This window comes from Homo sapiens, chromosome 14, assembly GCF_000001405.40.
Source record: "Homo sapiens chromosome 14, GRCh38.p14 Primary Assembly".
Classification (NCBI taxonomy): domain Eukaryota; kingdom Metazoa; phylum Chordata; class Mammalia; order Primates; family Hominidae; genus Homo; species Homo sapiens.
Genome location: NC_000014.9, coordinates 55,108,514 through 55,127,604, shown reverse-complemented (window position 1 = coordinate 55,127,604; position 19,091 = coordinate 55,108,514). Strand labels below are relative to the sequence as shown.

At 47.5% G+C, this 19,091-nt stretch overlaps 1 protein-coding gene across 1 annotated transcript; it reads right to left on the bottom strand.

The window, feature by feature from the left end:
* Positions 2,138-4,755, bottom strand: LOC124903319 (uncharacterized). Its single transcript, XM_047432036.1, has 3 exons — positions 4,406-4,755; positions 3,503-3,650; positions 2,138-2,555 (listed from the first exon to the last, which is right to left on the bottom strand). Exons 1-3 carry the CDS (start codon positions 4,548-4,550, stop codon positions 2,501-2,503), a joined length of 348 nt encoding a protein of 115 aa, XP_047287992.1. The 5' UTR covers positions 4,551-4,755; the 3' UTR covers positions 2,138-2,500.

Sequence of the window (19,091 nt, the reverse complement as noted above, 5' to 3'; positions counted from 1 at the left end):
TGTGGAGGCAAGGGATGAATCACACTCTTGCCTTTTCTTCTGGTCATTTCAGAGATAGACAAAGTTCATGCCCTGGCTACTTAGGGGGCTTGCTTACACCTGATTGTATGATCAGACATGCTTTTGGCTTCCCTTCCTTACTTGTACATCCCCATGAATACTTTGGTGCCAACTTCATGCCCCATAAAGCTAACAAAAGGATCCTGCTATGATCAGGGTGTGCCTGGGAATTTATAATTTGTACACATGCAATAAACGGCTCTTTATTACCCAATCCAAAGTCACATCCCTTTTCTAAGATAAGCGTAAAAAGGAACCCAATAAAATCAATTAAGATATCATTGAGTAACTTCTATGTACAGCTCACTGTGTTATTTGAAATAGGGACAAGGCAAGTGTTAGCCCTCAAACAAAAAGGCTGTCTGGTTTCTACGGATGCAGAGATTGTAAGCCGCTGATAAAAGCAAGGATTCTAAGAGAGGCATCTCCACAGGAGGGAAAGGAGGAAACTTGGGAAAGCAGGTGGCTGTCCAGAAGGTCAGGAGGGAAGCTGCGTGAGAACTTCAGTTAGAGCCAGAAGAGAGTAGGAGATGAAGATGAGAACAAAAAGGGAAAGTCTTTAAGGATAAGCAGAAAAGAGAAAGAAAGACAGTAATTGGAGAAGAAAGCAGAGCCGATTATTTATTTATTTATTTTATTTTTTTGAGACGGAGTTTTGCTCGGCTCACCGCAACCTCCACTCCCAGGTTCAAGTGATTCTCCTCCTGCCTCAGCCTCCCCAGTAGCTGGGATTACAGGCATGCACCACCACCCTGGCCAATTTTTAGTAGAGATGGGGTTTCTCCACGTTGGTCAGGCTAGTCTCAAACTCCCTACCTCAGGTGATCTGCCCACCTCAGCCTCCCAAAGTGCTGGGATTACAGGCGTGAGCCACTGCGCCCGGCAGCAAAGCCAGTTTTTTAAAGTCACCTTTTAAATAGGAAAATAGAACCAGAGAGAAAGGAAAAAGAGAGGAGAATAGAAGAATTATGAAAATATAAAAAGTGAGTGAACCTGGAACAAGCCAGAAAAGAGGAGAGAAATTTCCCAGAAATTAGCACTACAGTGGGCCAGATAGGGAAAGAATGTCTCACAAAAGCTGAAGTTCCTATGAAATATAAACAAAAATCTTGGTATTAAGTCGTGTAGACAGCAGAATACAGGAACAGCCAGAAAAGAGCAAAGCGGCTGCTTTCCAGTTTTCACATTTGGACCCTGGGCAGCCCAGGCAAGTTTGGCAATTCTGTGTCTACATGGTGTTAACACATCTGGGTGACAAGTGAAGAGTTGAGTCAGGCCTCAGGGCACTTGGTCTTTCTGGTGCCAACAACTGGAATCTGGGTGGCTGGCAGACTTAGGGACTGAAAGAGAGGCTGAGTGTTCTGGGGAACCATTTATGCCTTGAAGACAAAGTAATTTCCAGTTTCAGAACGAAATGACTGTGGCTGTCTGCTGTTTCTAGTCCCAGTTATCTATATGTACTTACTCATATCCAAGGCCTTTAGTGGGGGCCTAATATATGCCTCAACTATTTTGCAAAATCCACCCCTTCTAGCTTGCTGAATGAACAGGCTCACCAAAACCTGGTCAACAAATGAAATAGGGTTGGTGGCAGTAATGTGCCCAATGATGGTTTACAAGGTCTTACCACCTGGGTTGCAACTAGAGCCCCCTGGGACAGAGTGAGAGCCAGAACCTGCTTAGAAGGGAGCTAGCCCCTCCTGCCTTGGATGGGCAGGCCAACAGCATCAGGGAGAAGAGGTGTCCCAGGTGCCACCGCAGGTGCAAAACCCCTTCTCCAGCCCAACCTCAGCCCTGGCCACCTCAGCCTAACCTTCCTTGTTTGTCCTTCAAGCCTAACCCAGGCCTGTCTTCAGCACTAGCCATCACCAAACCCACATTCCCACCAGTCACTTCTGTCTATAGACAGGAAGTGGCTGCTGCCACTACTACTGCCCTTATTGCAGCCACACCCAGGGCTACGCTCTTAACCACGCTACAGCATTAACCTGCCTCTTGAGGAAGTATAAAACCAGGGAAAGGGATAGAGAGTGTGCCAGCTTGCTAAGGCTGCCATAACAAAGCACCAGGAACTGAGTAACTTAAATAACAGAAATTTATTTTCTCCCAATTCTGGAGGCCAGAAGTCCAAGATCAGATGTTGGAAGGGTGGGTTTCTTCTGAGGCCTCTCTCCTTGGCTTTTACGTCTCTCTATATCTTCACATGGTCTTTCTTATATGCCTGTCTGTGTCCTAATCTCCTCTTGTTAGAAGGACACATTCGTATTAGATTAAGACCTCATTTTAACTTAATTGCCCCCTTAAAGGCCCTATCTCCAAAAACAGTCACATTCTGACGTATCCGGGGCTCGGATGGTACTGACATAAATGTTTTTGCAAAGAGAGAGGGACACAATTCATCCCATATCAGAGAAGGGCAGGGGAGGAGCTGGCTGTCAGTTCAGCAAGTGTGGTCAGCAGAGATTTCTCCAAGGAGGTGGTATTTGAGCTGAGACCTAAATAAGGAGTAGGGGCAGGCTTGTAAAGATCCGAGAAAGTGGGAATGGCAAGAATAACACTGTGAGTTGCAACAGGGACCTGTGCCAGCATAGACACCCATGGGGCACCTCCTGTCCACTCCTCTCAGAATCCCCTCCCTGCCATCCTCATAAAGTGGCCCGGCAACCGAGCTAGCACTTCATGACCTCTCACCTTAAGTGGAGTTGGGAGAATTGTGGAGTCCTAATTGGGGGCTGGGGGAAGTGGAGAATTGGGCTGGTGGGATCAAGGGAAAGCAAAAAGAGACAGCAGGCTGGGCGCGGTGGCTCACGCCTGTAATCCCAGCACTTTGGGAGGCAGAGATGGGTGGATCGCTTGAGGTCAGGAGTTCGAGAACAGCCTGGCCAACATGGTGAAACCCCATCTCTACTAAAAATACAAAAATTAGCCAGGCATGGTGGCAGGTGCCTGTAGTCCAGCCTGGGCAACAGAGTGAGATTCTGTCTAAAAAAAAAAAAAAAAAAAAAAAGGCAGATAAGCTATAAGTCTGCCTTTCTTCATGGTCCAGGACACATAGCCCTCTTGCGCAAATAACTCACAATCTGCCTGCTCCCAGCTCTCTCTAGACCCTTGGCTGATAGAAAAAATGCACGTTAGCTCACTGCAACCTTGGCATCATCAGTACTACACAAAACTCTTCAGCACGCAGCACGAGCTCCATCCTATAAAATCCCCAGCCAGCCTTTGTCTCCTTTCACTCAGCTTCTCTTTTGCCAGCCTGCCCATTGCTTCCTTGCAACATATTTTTATACTTTTTCTAATAAATCTGCCTTTCTTTATCTACAACTGTCTTGATAAATTCCTCTTACCTCCCCCCCACGCCACTGGCCCCAATAGTCACGGCTCACCTGCAGCAAGAATCAGAAGGAATTCCTAACGCAGCTGAGTATTTGGTTTCTCTCACCTGAAAGCTTGAGTTTGGGCCCCTGACGGATTGTGAGTCAGTTGGTATGTGTGGCTGCATCTGCACCATGTCAGCCTGGGAGCCAAGCACATTCTGCCATGATAAAGGAAGAGTAGAGCAAGCCGGTCTGCAGAGATGAGTTGAGAAGCTGTACAGAGGGAAGGGACAAGACAGAGAGAGTCCTGCAGTATTTAAATTCCTGAGGCCTGGTCTCACATCTGCATTTGGATTTTGTGTATTGCTCTTGCCCCCACACCCTTCCTCTTTTTTTCCTCAGATTCTGAATCCAAGGAATCCAACCCCAACTTCCCCCAACACTTTTTTTTTTTTTTTTTTGGAGACAGGGTCTCACTCTGTTGCCCAGGCTGGAGTGCAGTGGCGTGATCATGGCTCACTTCAGCCTTGACTTCCTGGGCTCAAGTGAATCTCCCATCTCTGCCTCCCACGTAGCTGGAACTACAAGCGCGTGCCACCATGCCGGGTTAATTTTTGTATTTTTTGTAGAGATGAGGTTTCGCCATGTTTTCCAGGCTGGTCTTGAACTCCTGGGCTCAAGCAATCCATCCACCTCAGCCTCCCAAAGTGCTGAGACTGCAGGCGTGAGCCACCGCGTCCGGCCCACCTCCCCTTTTCGCATCCTTTTTCTGCTCAGGCTTGCTGACGCTTGTCTCTGTCACTTGCCACCAAGGGGCCCTCATACAGAATATAGACCCAAATGGGGCCTCACTGGAGGCCACCTGACTGTGGAGGGCTGGGTCCTGTGTGTGTGCTGGTGGAGACGTGAGCCAGAGAGAGCTGGCTTTCAGTGTTGTCACCATGGTTACTGCTATTTGACTCATGTTGTAGGATTTCCCCACTGAATCCCACACTGCCCACCCACTGATTCCCACACTGCTGGCTTACAACTCAGGGGGAAGTCTTTCCTGGGAAGCTGGGGTTGGGCTGCACCTTCCCTGCGAGGCAGCTCATCCTGGCCCACTGTCAGCTCAGATTTGCCCGGATCCACCATGTTCTGGCCTCCACCTGTGGCATTCTCCAGGACTGTCATCCTGCCTCCTACCTGTCCCTCTGCAGATTCTGTCCTCTTTTCTCTACACCAAAGTCATACTCTTTTTCTCCCCAAGAACAATAGACTTGCTTATATGGATTTCCCCCAGCCTTTTACTAAAACTGGAATAGTCAAAATCCTCTCTGGGCGCTGCCAGCCTGTTATGTTACAGAGAGCAGAGGGAGGAGGCCAGGGCCGCTATTGATAAGCGTCGCCTGCAATGAAGTGGGAGTGTTCACAGTGCAAACTGACCCATGAGGCTTGCCAGGGCTGTGGCAGGGTGGGGTGGAACAGGACTGACAGGCTCCTGTTTCTTCCAGATCTGCACATTGGCAACGTGCCATGAATATTTTCAATATGTCTGCTAGCCAGCAACCATAAATATCTCTGTGGAATGAGCTGGGGAGATCTAGTTTGTGCAGAAAATCAGGGAACGTGGAGGAGGATTTGCCCCTCTCTGCACTTTTGAAGGGCGTGCCATGTGCTTCTGCCAAGGGCAGAACCAAGGTTGCAAACTTCACAGAGAAGCTAAGAGACGTGTAGTTAGGTCTGGCTGTTTACTATAAACTGTGGAAGTCTATTGACTACAAATGCACAATCTAAATCATAGCAAGAGCATGAGGCAGGTAGTTTTCAGAAAAGAGCTAATTCTTTCTCATCCAGGTTGCAAGTCAGAGCTCTCCAAATGCCTCGTTATCATTAGCAGCAATCATGAAATCCTCAGCACTACTGGCCCCTGGTCCTTTGAGAGTAAAGGTCAGAGGTCTTACAATTGAGTAAGAAGTTTCTGTTTGTTCTATACCTAGCATAGAATTACAGATGGGGGAGGAACTAGGCCATATAGGCCATAAAAAGTGCAATTTATGTTTATAGAGATGAGAATGAGCACGATTACATTTAAGTTAACAAAAGCCCTTTCTAGGGGCAAAGGAAAAGTCAGAGCTGGGTAACTGATTCCTGGAGATGTACTGGTATTCAAGAAAGAATTTACCTGCTATGGAGATAGTATTCCAGGAGGTAAACTTTTGTTTATTATCTCCCTTGGAGATAAACAAGTTTCCACTATAACCATTATTAGCACCCAGTGCTCGTTCTGTCTCTGCTGCCAATTCATTCATTCATTCAGTTATTTAACATGTCATCATTCACACATTATCATATCTACTGTCCTCCAGACTTCTGCTCTGGTAGAAGTAGAGGACACAGGCTGGGCACGGTGGCTCATGCCTGTAATGCCAGCATTTTGGGAGGCCGAGGCGGGCGGATCACAAGGTCAGGAATTCGAGGCCAGCCTGGCCAACATGGTGAAACCCTGTCTCTACTAAAAATACAAAAAAAAAAAAAAAAATAGCCAGGCGTGGTAACAAGTGCCTGTAGTCCCAGCTACTAGGGAGGCTGAGGCAGGAGAATCCCTTGAACCTGGGAGACAGAGTTTGCAGTGAGCCAAGATCACGCCACTGCAGCCTGGCAACAGATCGAGAGTCCGTCTCAAAAAAAAAAAAAAAAAAGAAGTAGAGGACACAAAAGTAGGAAAGACATGTTCCCTGCCCCCAAGGATCCCCCAACTGTTGGATCAGACACACACATGAACAACTAACCCCAGTACAATGCAATAACTGCTGGAGTAGAGGAATATTACCCGTGCTATGGAAGGACAACGCGAGGAACACTTCATTCTTCCTGAGAGTTGGGAAAGGTGGGGCAGGCCCGTGGAAACAGCCTGATCAAAGCCAATGAGGATTAGGGTGCGGGTGTGGTAGCAATAAGACTGAACATTGACATTCGGTTTATCATATGCCTGCAGATATTCTGGGCATTTTCTATACTTTAACTCATTTAATGCTCACAACAAACCTATAAGGTAGATCTTCTCATTTTGCTGCTGAGAAAACAGAGTCACAGAGAGTCAAATAACTTAATCAGGGTCACACAACTGGTAAGTGTCAGATTTGGGGTTTGAAACCAGGCAGGAAGGCCTCGAGTCCATGCTGTGAACCACAATGCCCTACTACCTGATCCGGGAGCACATGGGACGTTTGGAGGAAGGGAGGGGTGCTGTAGTCACATTCGCAATGGCCTTTAATGCCATGTGCTTTAACCCAGTAGGAGAAATTTGCCCTAGAGGGATAATGCAAGGGCTGGGTGGGGAAGGGGAAGAGAGACAGAAAGGAGAAGACCAAGAGAGGTTATTGCAACACTCTTAAGAGAGAACCCAGGGCAGTGGCGATGGGACCCGGAGGAGCTTATCTCCATTTGCTTACTGGTGAAGTTTGCAGCCAGATGGCAAATGCCTGGCATGCCTTCCACCACCCAAGGCAGAGGTGATAACAAATCACGCTACTTTTTCTTGCTGAGGTCAGATGCTGCCTCAGAATCTTTCTCAACACAGTGCTCCAGGCAGCCACTTGCCAATCAGTCACAGCTGGTACATTAGATGAAACCTATTTGTCATCTCTCATTGTGACAGACATTTTCAGGTGAACACAATGGCAGACAGAATGTCCCAATAAGGTGAAAAAAAAAATGTAGTCACAGATAACTTGGAAGTTTCTGCTATGGGTCCCTGAATGGAAAGCCATGCTGTGGATGGTGACGGAGAACAGAGAAAGACTGGGTTGGGAGGGAAAACCATGAGGTTTGTTTTGCACATCTTCAGATTTGAAGTCCAACAGGGCATTCAAGAATAATGGCTGACATGAAAACATGGGTCTGAGCTCAGGAGAAACTCAAATTGGAGGTGTAGGGGAGAGTGCCATTGAAGGCTTGAAACTCAGTGCCATCTCCCAGAATGGACAGAAGACAGAACAGGGCCAAGACTGGAACCTGGGGAACACCAGTCCCTATGTGGTGTAAGGAGAAAGAAGAGAGGCTTGTCTGATGGGGGAAGAACTTTTCCAGGTGGAGGCAGTCAGGGCGTTAGACACAGTGGAGAGATCAGGAGCCACAGTGAAGGCTGCGGTGAGGATTCAGTAATGGCGAGGCCTTTGTGGCCAGTCCTGAGACAGAATTTCCAGTAGGTTGGAGAAAGCCAGTGGGTACCAACTTACATGGTTTGTTGGCTAAAAAGAAGGTGAGGAAGGTAAGACTATTTGGAGGCAGGGTTAAAAGGGGAAACCAGAGCATGTTGCTGATTGGGAGGAAGGATCAGGTGAACAGGTTAAGGCTGCAGTTGCAGAGGGACAAGAAGGTTAGGAAGGAATGAGTTAAGAACAAGCAGGATTTCTCCTTGGAAAGAATAGGATTTGTCAGAGTGTCATTTCATATTTATTGGTATGATTCTTACCACTTAATAATAGGGCTCTGTCCTTTTTTGGTCACTCTTTTATCCCCAGTGCCTAGCAAAATACCAGGCACTAAATGAATACATGCCAAATAAAGTGAATAAATGCCAGAACATCTCTTTTTCCTAGATATGAAGGAGTCACCAGCGTCGATGTTCTATTTATTTAGAGACAGGGTCTTTCTCGGTGGCCCAGGCTGGAGTGCGGTGGTGTAATCATAGCTCACTGCAGCCTCAAACTCCTGTGCACCACTTTGCCCAGTCTGCCAATGTCCTTGATGGCAGGAGATGGAGAAAATCACCTTTAGTTGGTGAGAAAGAGGGTGGTGGGAACAGGAGTGAAGGAACTGCTATAGTCATGATCAAATTCCCCAGAATTCATATAAAAGCTACACCAGAATTTTCATTCTTAAAGGCAAAGTAAGGAAGGGAAGGCCATGGTCATTATTTCCTTTAGAAAGACACACTAGAAGTCATGTGACAGGATTTCTGAAGCTCAGTAATTAATAATAGACAGGTACTTCCATTATAATTTTCTCTTCTTTCAAGAGCTAATACCCAAGATAAACACAAAGTAACTAGCCATAATTTCTAGCATTTCTCCTGGGCGGGGTGGAAGCTTCCTAAGATAAATATGTTAAGAGATGTGCTACTTTTTCAAATGCAAGTGTGAACTGGTCTGAAGAAAAAAATGTTCCTTCCACTTGTGTCTTTTTTCCCCTTGAGACTTAAAATTTTTTTAATGTTTTTTCCTTTGCTACAAGCCTGTAAGGAAACAAAATAACATAGCTGTGTGCCAGGAAACACGATAGTGACAGCTACGTCATCACATTCATGCATCTTTGTAATTAAGATGAAATTGATGTGAAAAAAAAGTATTTTTATTCCTTTAGCAATATTAGAGACTCTGTTATTTTGCCTGCTCCTTCTTATCGGCTTTTTGGGATGGGTAGGCATTTTTACACATGAAGAATTTCTGGGTTACCAAGTTCTTTAGAGAGCTCCCTCTAACTGCATCACTCCCTGTTCCTCAGCGTCCCTTCACATTTTCAGCTGTCAGTGAACCCTGGGGCAGGAATCAATCCACCACCAAGGACACAGAACAGGCCACAGGGCTCAGATCTTCTACTACCAGAAGAAATGGAAGCCCTTTTCTTCTTAAGTGTTGTCAGGGAAGTGCTAACTCCTTAACTCTCTCAAAACAAATTTGAAATTCTTAGAGAAAAGGTCTTAGTAAGGAAATCCAGCAAGGTTTTGCCTCAGACTTCGGTTGGCCTTGTGGGAGGCCCCAGTTTGGGTCCCCCCGAAACACCAAGCTGTAGAAGAAGCAGATTCCAAAGAAATGAGTCCCTCATATCCATTGTTTCCTAAAACCAAAATCTGGTAAATCTATTCGTATTGTGGGTTAGGTCTCTTTGTTGTTTTAAAAAAAGGGCGCTGGCAGTTCCTCATATTATCACAATGGAAATCAGATCATGTGCTTCTGTGTTTGGACATCACGGCACCTCCTATTCCTGACTCTGTGGCTTTAGAGGAGTTTATCATGTGGCCAAGCAAAAGAGGTTCCCTGGGGAATCCCTTCTTTCCCTATTGCTACAGATGAGCATGTCCAAGCATATACATAGAGGGTGTTCCCCACAGTTCTAATGCATGTGGGGAAACCATAGATATAACTTAAGCCAAATAGCATGGTTTACTGTCGGCTGGGCAGGAAAGGCTTTCCCAACCTAGAAGAGTTGCCTCAGACCACAACAGAGTCCTGCATCTGAGTGTGAGCCTCTCAGGGCAGATCAAAGCTCCAGGCTCAATTTGAAGTCAAAGGGAGTCTCCTCCGTGGTTGCGCAGGAGGTGGATAGTCTGGCATTAGTCTAAGACACACGTAATAAACCACAGTTCAGCCCTCTGAGCATCATGACATGGCAAGGGAGCTGATGGGGGATGGGGACAAGGGACCAGCCATGGGTGGGGATAGATCCAGTCACCATATCCATAAAGGGCCTCAAATATGGGCTTTTGAGCTATCTGAAAGTGAGGTTATGAACTCAGACGCAGAGGTATACCTACAGGAGGGAAAGGCAATATTCATTATACAATTTTAATTTTAAAAATAAACATTAAAATAAACCACAATTTAAAAATGTTGTTTAGCCCTTTGTACTTTAAAAAAAAAGTTTTTTGAGATGGAATCTTGCTCTGTTGCCCAGGCTGAAGTACAGTGGCGTGATCTTGGCTCATTGCAACCTCTGCCTCCCAGGTTCAAGTGATTCTCCTGCCTCAGCCTCCCAAGTAGCTGGGATTACAGGCATGTGCCACCATGCCCGGCTATTTTTTTTAATTTTTATTTTTAGTAGAGATGGGGTTTCACCATGTTGGCCAGGCTGGTCTTGAACTCCTGACCTCAAGTGATCCACCCACCCCAGCCTCCCAAAGTGCTGGCAGTACAGGCATGAGCTACCGTGCCCGGCCCATTTGTACTTTTTTTTTTTTTTTTTTTAGTATACCTTGTGCCTCAAAAGTGGAATGGGCCAGCCTTCCCTCTGCTTCTGGGTTAGCAAAGGAGCTTTTAGTGAGTGTTAATGAATAAGCAGGACTTATGGATTCTGAATAACCGATGCTCATGGAGAGATTACCAAGGGAAAGTGTTTTACACCCTTTTCCTGGCAGTCAAATGTTCCCTGTTCACCCCAAGAGTATGCTGCTCCAAACAGACCCCAGCCAGCTTCCCCCACCTGTTTCAGGGCTGCCGAAATGACAGTGGGAGCCACACAGATGCAGCAGCTCCAGCCCAGGACTCAGCTTTCTCCTGACACTGCTCCTTGAATGGACGCACTCAGCAACTGAGCCCCTTGACACGTTGGTGGGAGGGACTGGAACGTTTATGGCATATCTGGAGTGCATGAAAAGAAAAATAACAGTGCTGGTTTTGTAACCATGGGACCGGATCAAACCAATTAACCATTGCCTAAGTTGTTACAGCAACAGCTGAACAGCTGTTAGGGTGTTCAGCCTCACCTTCGACCATGTCACACAGTCAAAATTGCCCTGGTACGTGCCATGGGAAGAGTTTAGCCTCCTCATTGTTAGCACCACCTGCATAGCAGACTGGCTGCCATGGGGGACTGGGACTAGTTAGAAATGCCACAAAAGTTTGACCCAACCACCCAGATCCCGGCGACAGAGTTGAATGTTGCCTCCTGTGTCCTTGCCAGTCAACTGGTGATAAGGTTTTTTCTTATCTCAAAAGCCATTGCCACAGTATTGGCTTCTACAACCCTTGCTTGGTAACAGTTTCTTCTGCACCAGAAGGAAGCAAGTCTCATGACTCTTCATAGGTAATGTTTCACCACAGTACTGAGTTCTCACTGCTCCTCAAGGGCTCTGGGATGAAAGACAACAGCACAGTAATGCTGCTGGCTTGCCAGTTCACACTGGCACCAGTTGTTGAAGCTGCGTATCAAGGCTTTCATCTAGAAATGCATTTAGGTTAATGAAATCAGAATATTAACATAACCGGCCACAGAGCTCTAGTATTTAGAAGACAGTTCAGGCCCAGGACACAAAAAAAGTCACCCATGAAGACAGAGAAGCAAACAGTGTTATCCATGGGATGATAACGACGATAATCCCTTTGCAATTCTACCCAACAAAAACCTGTCAAGGCCTGCTCTGTGCAAGCACTGTGCTAGGTCCCAGGAGGAGAGAGAATTTGCATCTGTGCCTTAGAGACCTTGGTGGTAGTTTGGTATCATTCAGAGTTTAGGTTTTGGTGCCAGATGGATGACAAGCAATGGGTTCCATAGAGTACTTTCTTCTTCTTCTTCTTTTTTTTTTTTTTTTTAGTATACTTTAAGTCCTAGGGTACATGTGCACAACGTGCAGGTTTGTTACACATTTACGCATGTGCCATGTTGGTTTGCTGCACCCATTAATTCATCATTTACATTAGGTATTTCTCCTAATGCTATCCCTCCCCCCTCCCCCCCCCCCCAGAGAGCTTTCTAGGGAACCCGTCACACAGCAGGAACTGAGTTAAGAGTAACATCTTTTATTTGCTGTCAGAAGCTCAGCTCTCATCAGCCTCCCACGGATGGCCTCCTGCTCCCAAGTCCCAGTCCCTGGCTGTGTCCCTGCACTGTGTTCCAGCCAGGCACTCACTGCTCAGGCCTGCCCCTTTTACCTTGACACCGTGTCCCTCCTGCTCTCCAGCACACTCATCTGTAGCCAAAGCCATACCTCCCAGATGCTGCCTGCCTGGATTTCTAGAATTCATCCATGGTCTGGCCTGATACTAATTATATCTAGGCTCTGTCCATTTCACTGTTGAAGTAACCTCTTATGTCCCCAGCTCCAGGTAAATCAGCCTTCAACCTCACCACGTTTTTTTGTTCTTGTTTTTTTTTGAGACAGGGTCTCACTTTGTCACTGAGGCTGGAGTCCAGTGGCGTGATCTTGGCTCACGGCAACCTCTGCCTCCTGGGTTCAAGCAATTCTCCTGCCTCAGCCTCCCGAGTAGCTGGGGTTACAGGCGCCCGCCACCACGCCCAGCTAATTTTTGTATTTTTAGTAGAGACAGGGTTTCACCATGTTGGCCAGGCTGGTCTCAAACTCCTGACTTCAAATGATCCACCCGCCTCAGGCTCCCAAAGTGCTGGGATTACAGGCGTGAGCCACCACCCCTGGCTCAACCTCACCTTTGAACATGTCACACCTGCCCAGAAGCTAGCCCTGACTCCCTATGACTTCTAATTTAAGGTAAAATCTCAGCCTGAGGCTCTTGGTTTGGTGTGATCTAGCCCAGCCCATCTCAGGTAATATGCCAGCCTTCATGTCTCTGGCCTTAGTGGACTAATTGCATTCCTTGAGTAAGTTCCTACCTTTCCTTCCTGTGTCCTTTGCTCTCGTTGGACTTTGTTGGGATTTCAACACAGGAAGATAGAGGGAGATGGATAGAGACTAAAGGAAACAACATGAACACAGATAAAGACATGAGAATGCACAAACACCAGAGAGGAGATGTGTTTGGTCATTGATATTGGGTACTTACAATCCCAGAGTCATAGCTCTTATAGATGAAGGAAACTAAATGGACCATCTGGTCTACCCCTGGCTTCCAGGCTAGGAAAGTATTTTTATTCCCATGCAATATATTAGACCACTAAGAACCGGACAGGTTAAATGGCATAATTGGAGGTAGGGAGAGAAATGTTTAGACAGACAACTTGGGGTCATCCTATAAAAGACCTTTAATGCCAGGTTAAACTTGTACTCAATTCAGTGGATGCCAGAGATAACTGAAAGCTTTCCCTGGAGCAGTGGCATAATCGGAGCTATGCTTTGAGGCAGTGTTTTCAAACTGTGGGATATGACCCGTTATTGAGCCACAAAGTCAATTTAGTGGATCATGAATAAAACAGAATGCAGTATTGCTTTGTGAGTTTTGTGTGTGTGTATTGGGTTGTAAGGTAAAATATAGTTCTTGGCTGGCAACAGTGGCTCATGCCTGTAATGCCGGCACTTTGGGAGGATCACTTGAGTTCAGGAGTTTGAGACCAGCCTGGGCAACATGGCGAGACCTCATCTCTACTAAAAATAAAAATAAAAAATTAGCCGGATGTGGTGGTACACACCTGTAGTCCCAGCAACTGCAGAGGATCACTTGAGCCTGGGAGGTCAAGGCTGCAGTGAGCTGTGATTGTGAGCCATGATCATGCCACTGCACTCCATCCTAGGCAACAGAGCGAGACCCTGTCTCAAGTATATGTATATATTTCTTATTATGAGTCACGGTCAAAAAGGCTTGACAGCTCCAGCTTTAGCCAGGCATGGTGGTCCATGCCTATAAGTCCCAGCACTTTGGGAGGCCAAGGTGGGCAGATCACTTGAGCTCAGGAGTTCCAGACCAGCCTGAGCAACATGGTGAAATCCCGTCTCTACAAAAAATTAGCCGGGCATGGTGGTGTGTGCCTGTAGTCCCAGCTACTTGGGAGGCTGAGTCTGGAGAATGGCTTGAGCCTGGGAGGTCGAGGCTGCGGTGAGCCGTGCCACGGCACTCCAGCCCAGGTGACTGAGCGAGACCTTGTCTAAAAAAGTCTCAAAAAAGGAAAAGAAAGAAACAGGAAAGCTCCAGCTTTAGAGAGATTCATCTGAATGAGGGTGTAGAAGAGCGTGGGGGTCGAGTTAGGAGACTCCTGTCACAGCCCAAGGGGGAGGAAGGAAGTTCGGAATGGGAAAGAGAAGCCAGGGGAAGGGAAGGGAAGGAGAAGCCAGGGGAAGGGAAAGGAAGGAGTGGGCATGAGAGATTGGTGGGGGTAAGAGTGTCAGGATGTGGGGGCTCAGGGAGAGGGAAGCATCAATCAAGCATGACTAAAAGTCACACCTGGGTGCTTCAGGAAATGTTAGTGTCTACAGCCAAGGGAAGAAGCCAAGGGAAGTTCAGAGAAGGCGCTGGTTTGAGGACCATCTCAAAAGACTGACGGAAGGACACACAGCAATCATCAAATACTGGATTAGTTGAGGTCCCAGCAGGAGACAGAATCCACTCAGATGGCTTCAATGAAGAGTCCTAAGTGGGCGGGGCACGGTGGCTCACGCCTGTAATCCCAGCACTTTGGGAAGCTGAGGTGGGCAGATCACCTGAGGATAGGAGTTCGAGACCAGCCTGGCCAACATGGTGAAACCCCGTCTCTACTGAAAATACAAAAATTAGCCGGGCATGGTGGTGGGTGCCTGTAATCCCAGCTACTTGGGAGGCTGAGGCAGGAGAATCGCTTGAACCCAGGAGGCAGAGGTTGCAGTGAGCTGAGATCACGCCACTGCACTCCAGCCTGGGCGACAGAGCGAGACTCCATCTCAAAAAAAGAAAAATAAGTAAAATAAAAATAAAATAAAATAAAAAGTGTCCTGAGTGAAGGGAGGATTTCCAGAGCTGTAGGCAGGTTGAAAGGAACCAGCCTGGGATCATGAGGCCCTCAGAGGCTAATCACAGTAGGAAGCTCTTCCTCTCAGATTCCCTTGGGCCCCAAGCTTGCAGGACAGCCCTTCCCCACCTTCCCATCCACTCCCCCATCCCCAAACCAGCACACAACTGCTATTTGGCTTGTCACCATCACTGTTTCTCTTGCTACTATTATTTCTATCCTCATCATCACCCTTACCAATGCCAAGGGCTTTATACACATTCTCACTTAAACATTTTTACCTCAAGAGTTGGTGTTGGGCTGGGAGTGGTGGCTCATGCCTGTAATCCCAGCACTTTGGGAGGCCGAGGCAGGTGGATCACTTGAGGTCAGGAGTTCAAGACCAGCCTGGCCAACATGATGAAACCCCATCCCTACAAAAATACAAAAGTTAGCCAGGTGCTGTGGTGCATGCCTGTGGTCCCAGGTACTCTGGAGGTTGAGGCAGGAGAATCTCTCGTCCGGGAGGCAGAGGTTGCAGTGAGCCAAGACGGTGCCACTGCACTCCAACCTGGGTGACACAGTGAGATTCCGTCTCAAAAAAAAAAAAGAGTTGGTATCATGCCAGACCCCTATTAACCCCAATAGGGATGGCATCAGGTTCAAGAGGCTGAAGAAGAGACCCAAAGCCAATAGATGAGATAGGGGGTTTATTGAGAGGAACTTATACAGGGTGGTCCAGTGGCAGCAGGCTGGGCCAGAGAAGCACCAGCACCTACAGAAAGCATGCAGTTTCTATAGTGTTTACATTTAGTACCCTTCCCCTAACAACCTCCACCTGGCAACCTTCATTTAACCCAAAACAAAGGGCCTTGATCCCCTGCACAGCCCATTCCACAGGATGGCCCAGGCTCTCAGATGTTCCTCATAGATAAAATATAATGATGCCGGGCGTGGTGGCTCACGCCTATAATCCCAGCACTTTGGGAGGCCGAGGCAGGCAGATCACTTGAGGTGAGGAGTTCAAGACCAGCCTGGCCAACATGGCGAAACCCTGTCTCTACTAAAAATACAAAAATTAGCCAGGCGTGGTGGTGCGGGCCTGTAACCCCAGCTACTGAGGAGGCTGAGGCAGGAGAATGGCTTGAACCCAGGAGGCAGAGGTTGCAGCCTGGGTGACAGAGCAAGACTCTGTCTCAAAAATAAAATAAAAAAAGATATAATGAATCTTTGGGTTGGCCGCACTGGGAACTCTGAACACACATTCAGGTGCATCTGCCATACAGGGTCATTCTCAGGGTAGGCTTAAGTTATTACTGTCAGGTGCTTCTGCCACGCACAGGTGCATCTACCATACGCCCCACCCCAGCACGCCCTTGAATAGCTCTCATAGTCTCATCACATTCCCTGGGGCCAGATATACAGAGGAGCACTGGCACCAGCGCAGCAGCAACACAAACCACCACAACAAAAAGAACAATGAATACGACAGAAGGTTCTCCCAAGCTCTTGGGAGCTCATCTTGGATGTGCCACAGCAAGCCCCTGGTGGAGGAAAGGGGCGGCTCTTTGTAGGCTCAACAGTCCATTTTGTCCTGAAGAGAAGCCACCATCTGTGCCCAGTTGGACCGTTGCTTGTGCTGTGAGCTCAGCCTCTATGGCTCCTTAGAGCATGGTCCGAAGCGGCCAGCCAACTACAGCTGCCACAGCTCAGGAATCTGAGCCTTGCTCAGTCAGATCTACCCCCTGCAACTACCCTTCCAGACCTTTCAGTGTTTGCAGAGCATCCCTGTACTCACACATTAGGCCCAATCCATCAAGGATAGCGGCTCTTGGGCCCCATATAGACATGGACAGCCAACCTGGGATTTCCCCCTGCAGATCTCCCCTTTTCCAATCTCATCATCTGGGGCTTTTCTCCCACCTCCTGCTGGGCTCACCACCTATCATACTGGACCCCATTAACTCCAGTAGGTCAGGATGTTACTTTTGGGACTAGAAAAAAATTAAAAATTTAAAATATTTTAAAAATTAAAAAAAAAAAAAACTTCCAGTGGGGATGGTGCCATGTCTGAGAGGCCAAAGAAGAGACCCAGCGAATGAGACATAGGGTTATTTTTTTGTTCTTTTTCTTTTTTTTTTTTTCACTAGAGATGGGCCTTGCTATATTGCCCAGGCTGCTTTCAATCTCCTGGGCTCAAGGGATCCTCCTGCCTCAGCCTCCCAACGTGCTGGGATTATAAGCAGGAGCCACTGCACACAGCCAACATAGAGTTTATTGAAGGGCACTTACATAAAGAGTGGTCTGATGGAGGTGAACTGGACAGGAGAATTGCCACTGCTTGTAAAAATGCATGCAGTTGGCCAAGCGCGGTGGCTCACGCCTGTAATCCCAGCACTTTGGGAGACCGAGGCGGGAGGATCACAAGGTCAGGAGATCGAGACCATCATGGCTAACACGGTGAAACTCCATCTCTACTAAAAATATAAAAAATTAGCCGGGCGCAGTGGTGGGCGCCTGTAGTCCCAGCTACTTGGGAGTCTGAGGCAGGAGAATGGCTTGAACCTGGGAGGCGGAGCTTGCAGTGAGCCGAGATCGTGCCACTCCACTCCAGCCTGGGCAACAGAGAGAGACTCCATCTCAAAAAAAAAAAAAAAAAAAAAAAAGCATGCAGTTTATATAGCATTTTCACTTAACACCCATCCCCTGACAACCACCACCTGGCAACCTTCACTTAAACCAACACAAAGGGCCTTGATCCCCTCTACAGCATTCCATGGTCAGGACAAGAGCTCAGATGTTCCTTATAGATAAGGAATGAATCTCTGAGTTGGCATGCTTGGGACTCAGCATACACATTCAGGTGCATCTGCCATACAGTGTCATTCTCAGGGAATGTTTAGGTTATTGCTGTCAGGCGTGTCTCCCATACACAGATGTGTCTACCATACAGTTGGTCCTATCTTTTTTTTTTTTTTTTTTTTTTTTTTGAGACAGGATCTTGCTCTTTCACCCAGGCTAGAGTGCAGTGGTGTGATCATAGCTCACTGCAGCCTTGAATTCATGGGCTCAGGCGATCTTCCCACCTCAGCCTCCTAAGTAGCTAGGACCACAGGTGTGTGCCACCACACCTGGATAATTTTTTATATTTTTTGTAGAGATGGGGGTCTTGCCATGTTGCTGAGGCTGATCTCAAACTCTTGGCCTCAAGTGATCCATCCACCTCAACTTCCCAAAGTGCTGGGATTACAGGCAAGAGCTGCTGCTTCTGGCTAAGAGCTAGTCCTGTCATTATTACAAATTTACAAATAAAGAAATTGAAACTGGACTGGCCACAGTGGCTCATGCCTGTAATCCCAACACTTTGGGAGGCTGAGGCAGGTGGATCACCTGAGGTCAGGAGGTGGCTCATGCCTGTAATCCCAGCACTTTGGGAGGCCAAGGTGGGTGATGGCTTGAGCCCAGGGCTTCAAGACCAGCCTGGGCAACATGGTGAAACACCATCTCTACAAAAAATACAAAAATTAGCCAGGTGTGATGGTGCACACGTGTATCTCAGCTACTTGGGAGGCTAAGGTGGGAGGATCCCTTGATTCCAGGAGGTGGAGGTTGCAGTGAGCTGAGATCACGCCACTGCACTCCAGCCTGGGTGACAGAGAGAGATCCTGTCTCAAAACAAAACAAACAAGCAAAAAAAAAAAAACTCGGCCAAGTTCACAGTTAGTAAACGACAAAGTTGGAATATGAAGCCAGGCATCTTCTTGATCACTCCTAATCACTATAGTGTACTACTAATTACCAAGAAATAGACAATAACAAAGGTAGCAAATAACAAGGCAGGTAACCAAGCATAGTCATCAGTGATGTCGCACACTGTGAGTGGGACCAGGCCTCTCATAATCCTGCTTCCCTAATTTCTTCTTAGAAGCTCTAGTGGGACTCAGCCGGAAGCTGTGGCTTATGCCAGTGATCCCAACACTTTAGGAGGCCAAGGCAGGAGAATCATGAGGTCAGGAGTTCGAGACCAGCCTGGCCGACATAGTGAAACCCTGTCTCTACTAAAAATACAAAAATTAGCTGGGCATGGTGGTGCACATCTGTAGTCCCATCTGCTCAGGAGGCTGGGGCAACAGAATCGCTTGAACCCGGGAGGCGGAGCTTGCAGTGAGCCGAGATGGTGCCACTGCACTCCAGCGTGGATAACAGAGTGAGACTCCGTATCAAAAAAAAAAAAAAAAAAGAAGCTCTAGTGGGACTTATATCTGGAAAATCCCTCTCCCACTCTCTCACGGCCCACAGGATTGGCTGCTGGAGTCATAATTTCTCATGTTAGCCTGGAGTGAAATTGGATTACCCTAGTTAGGG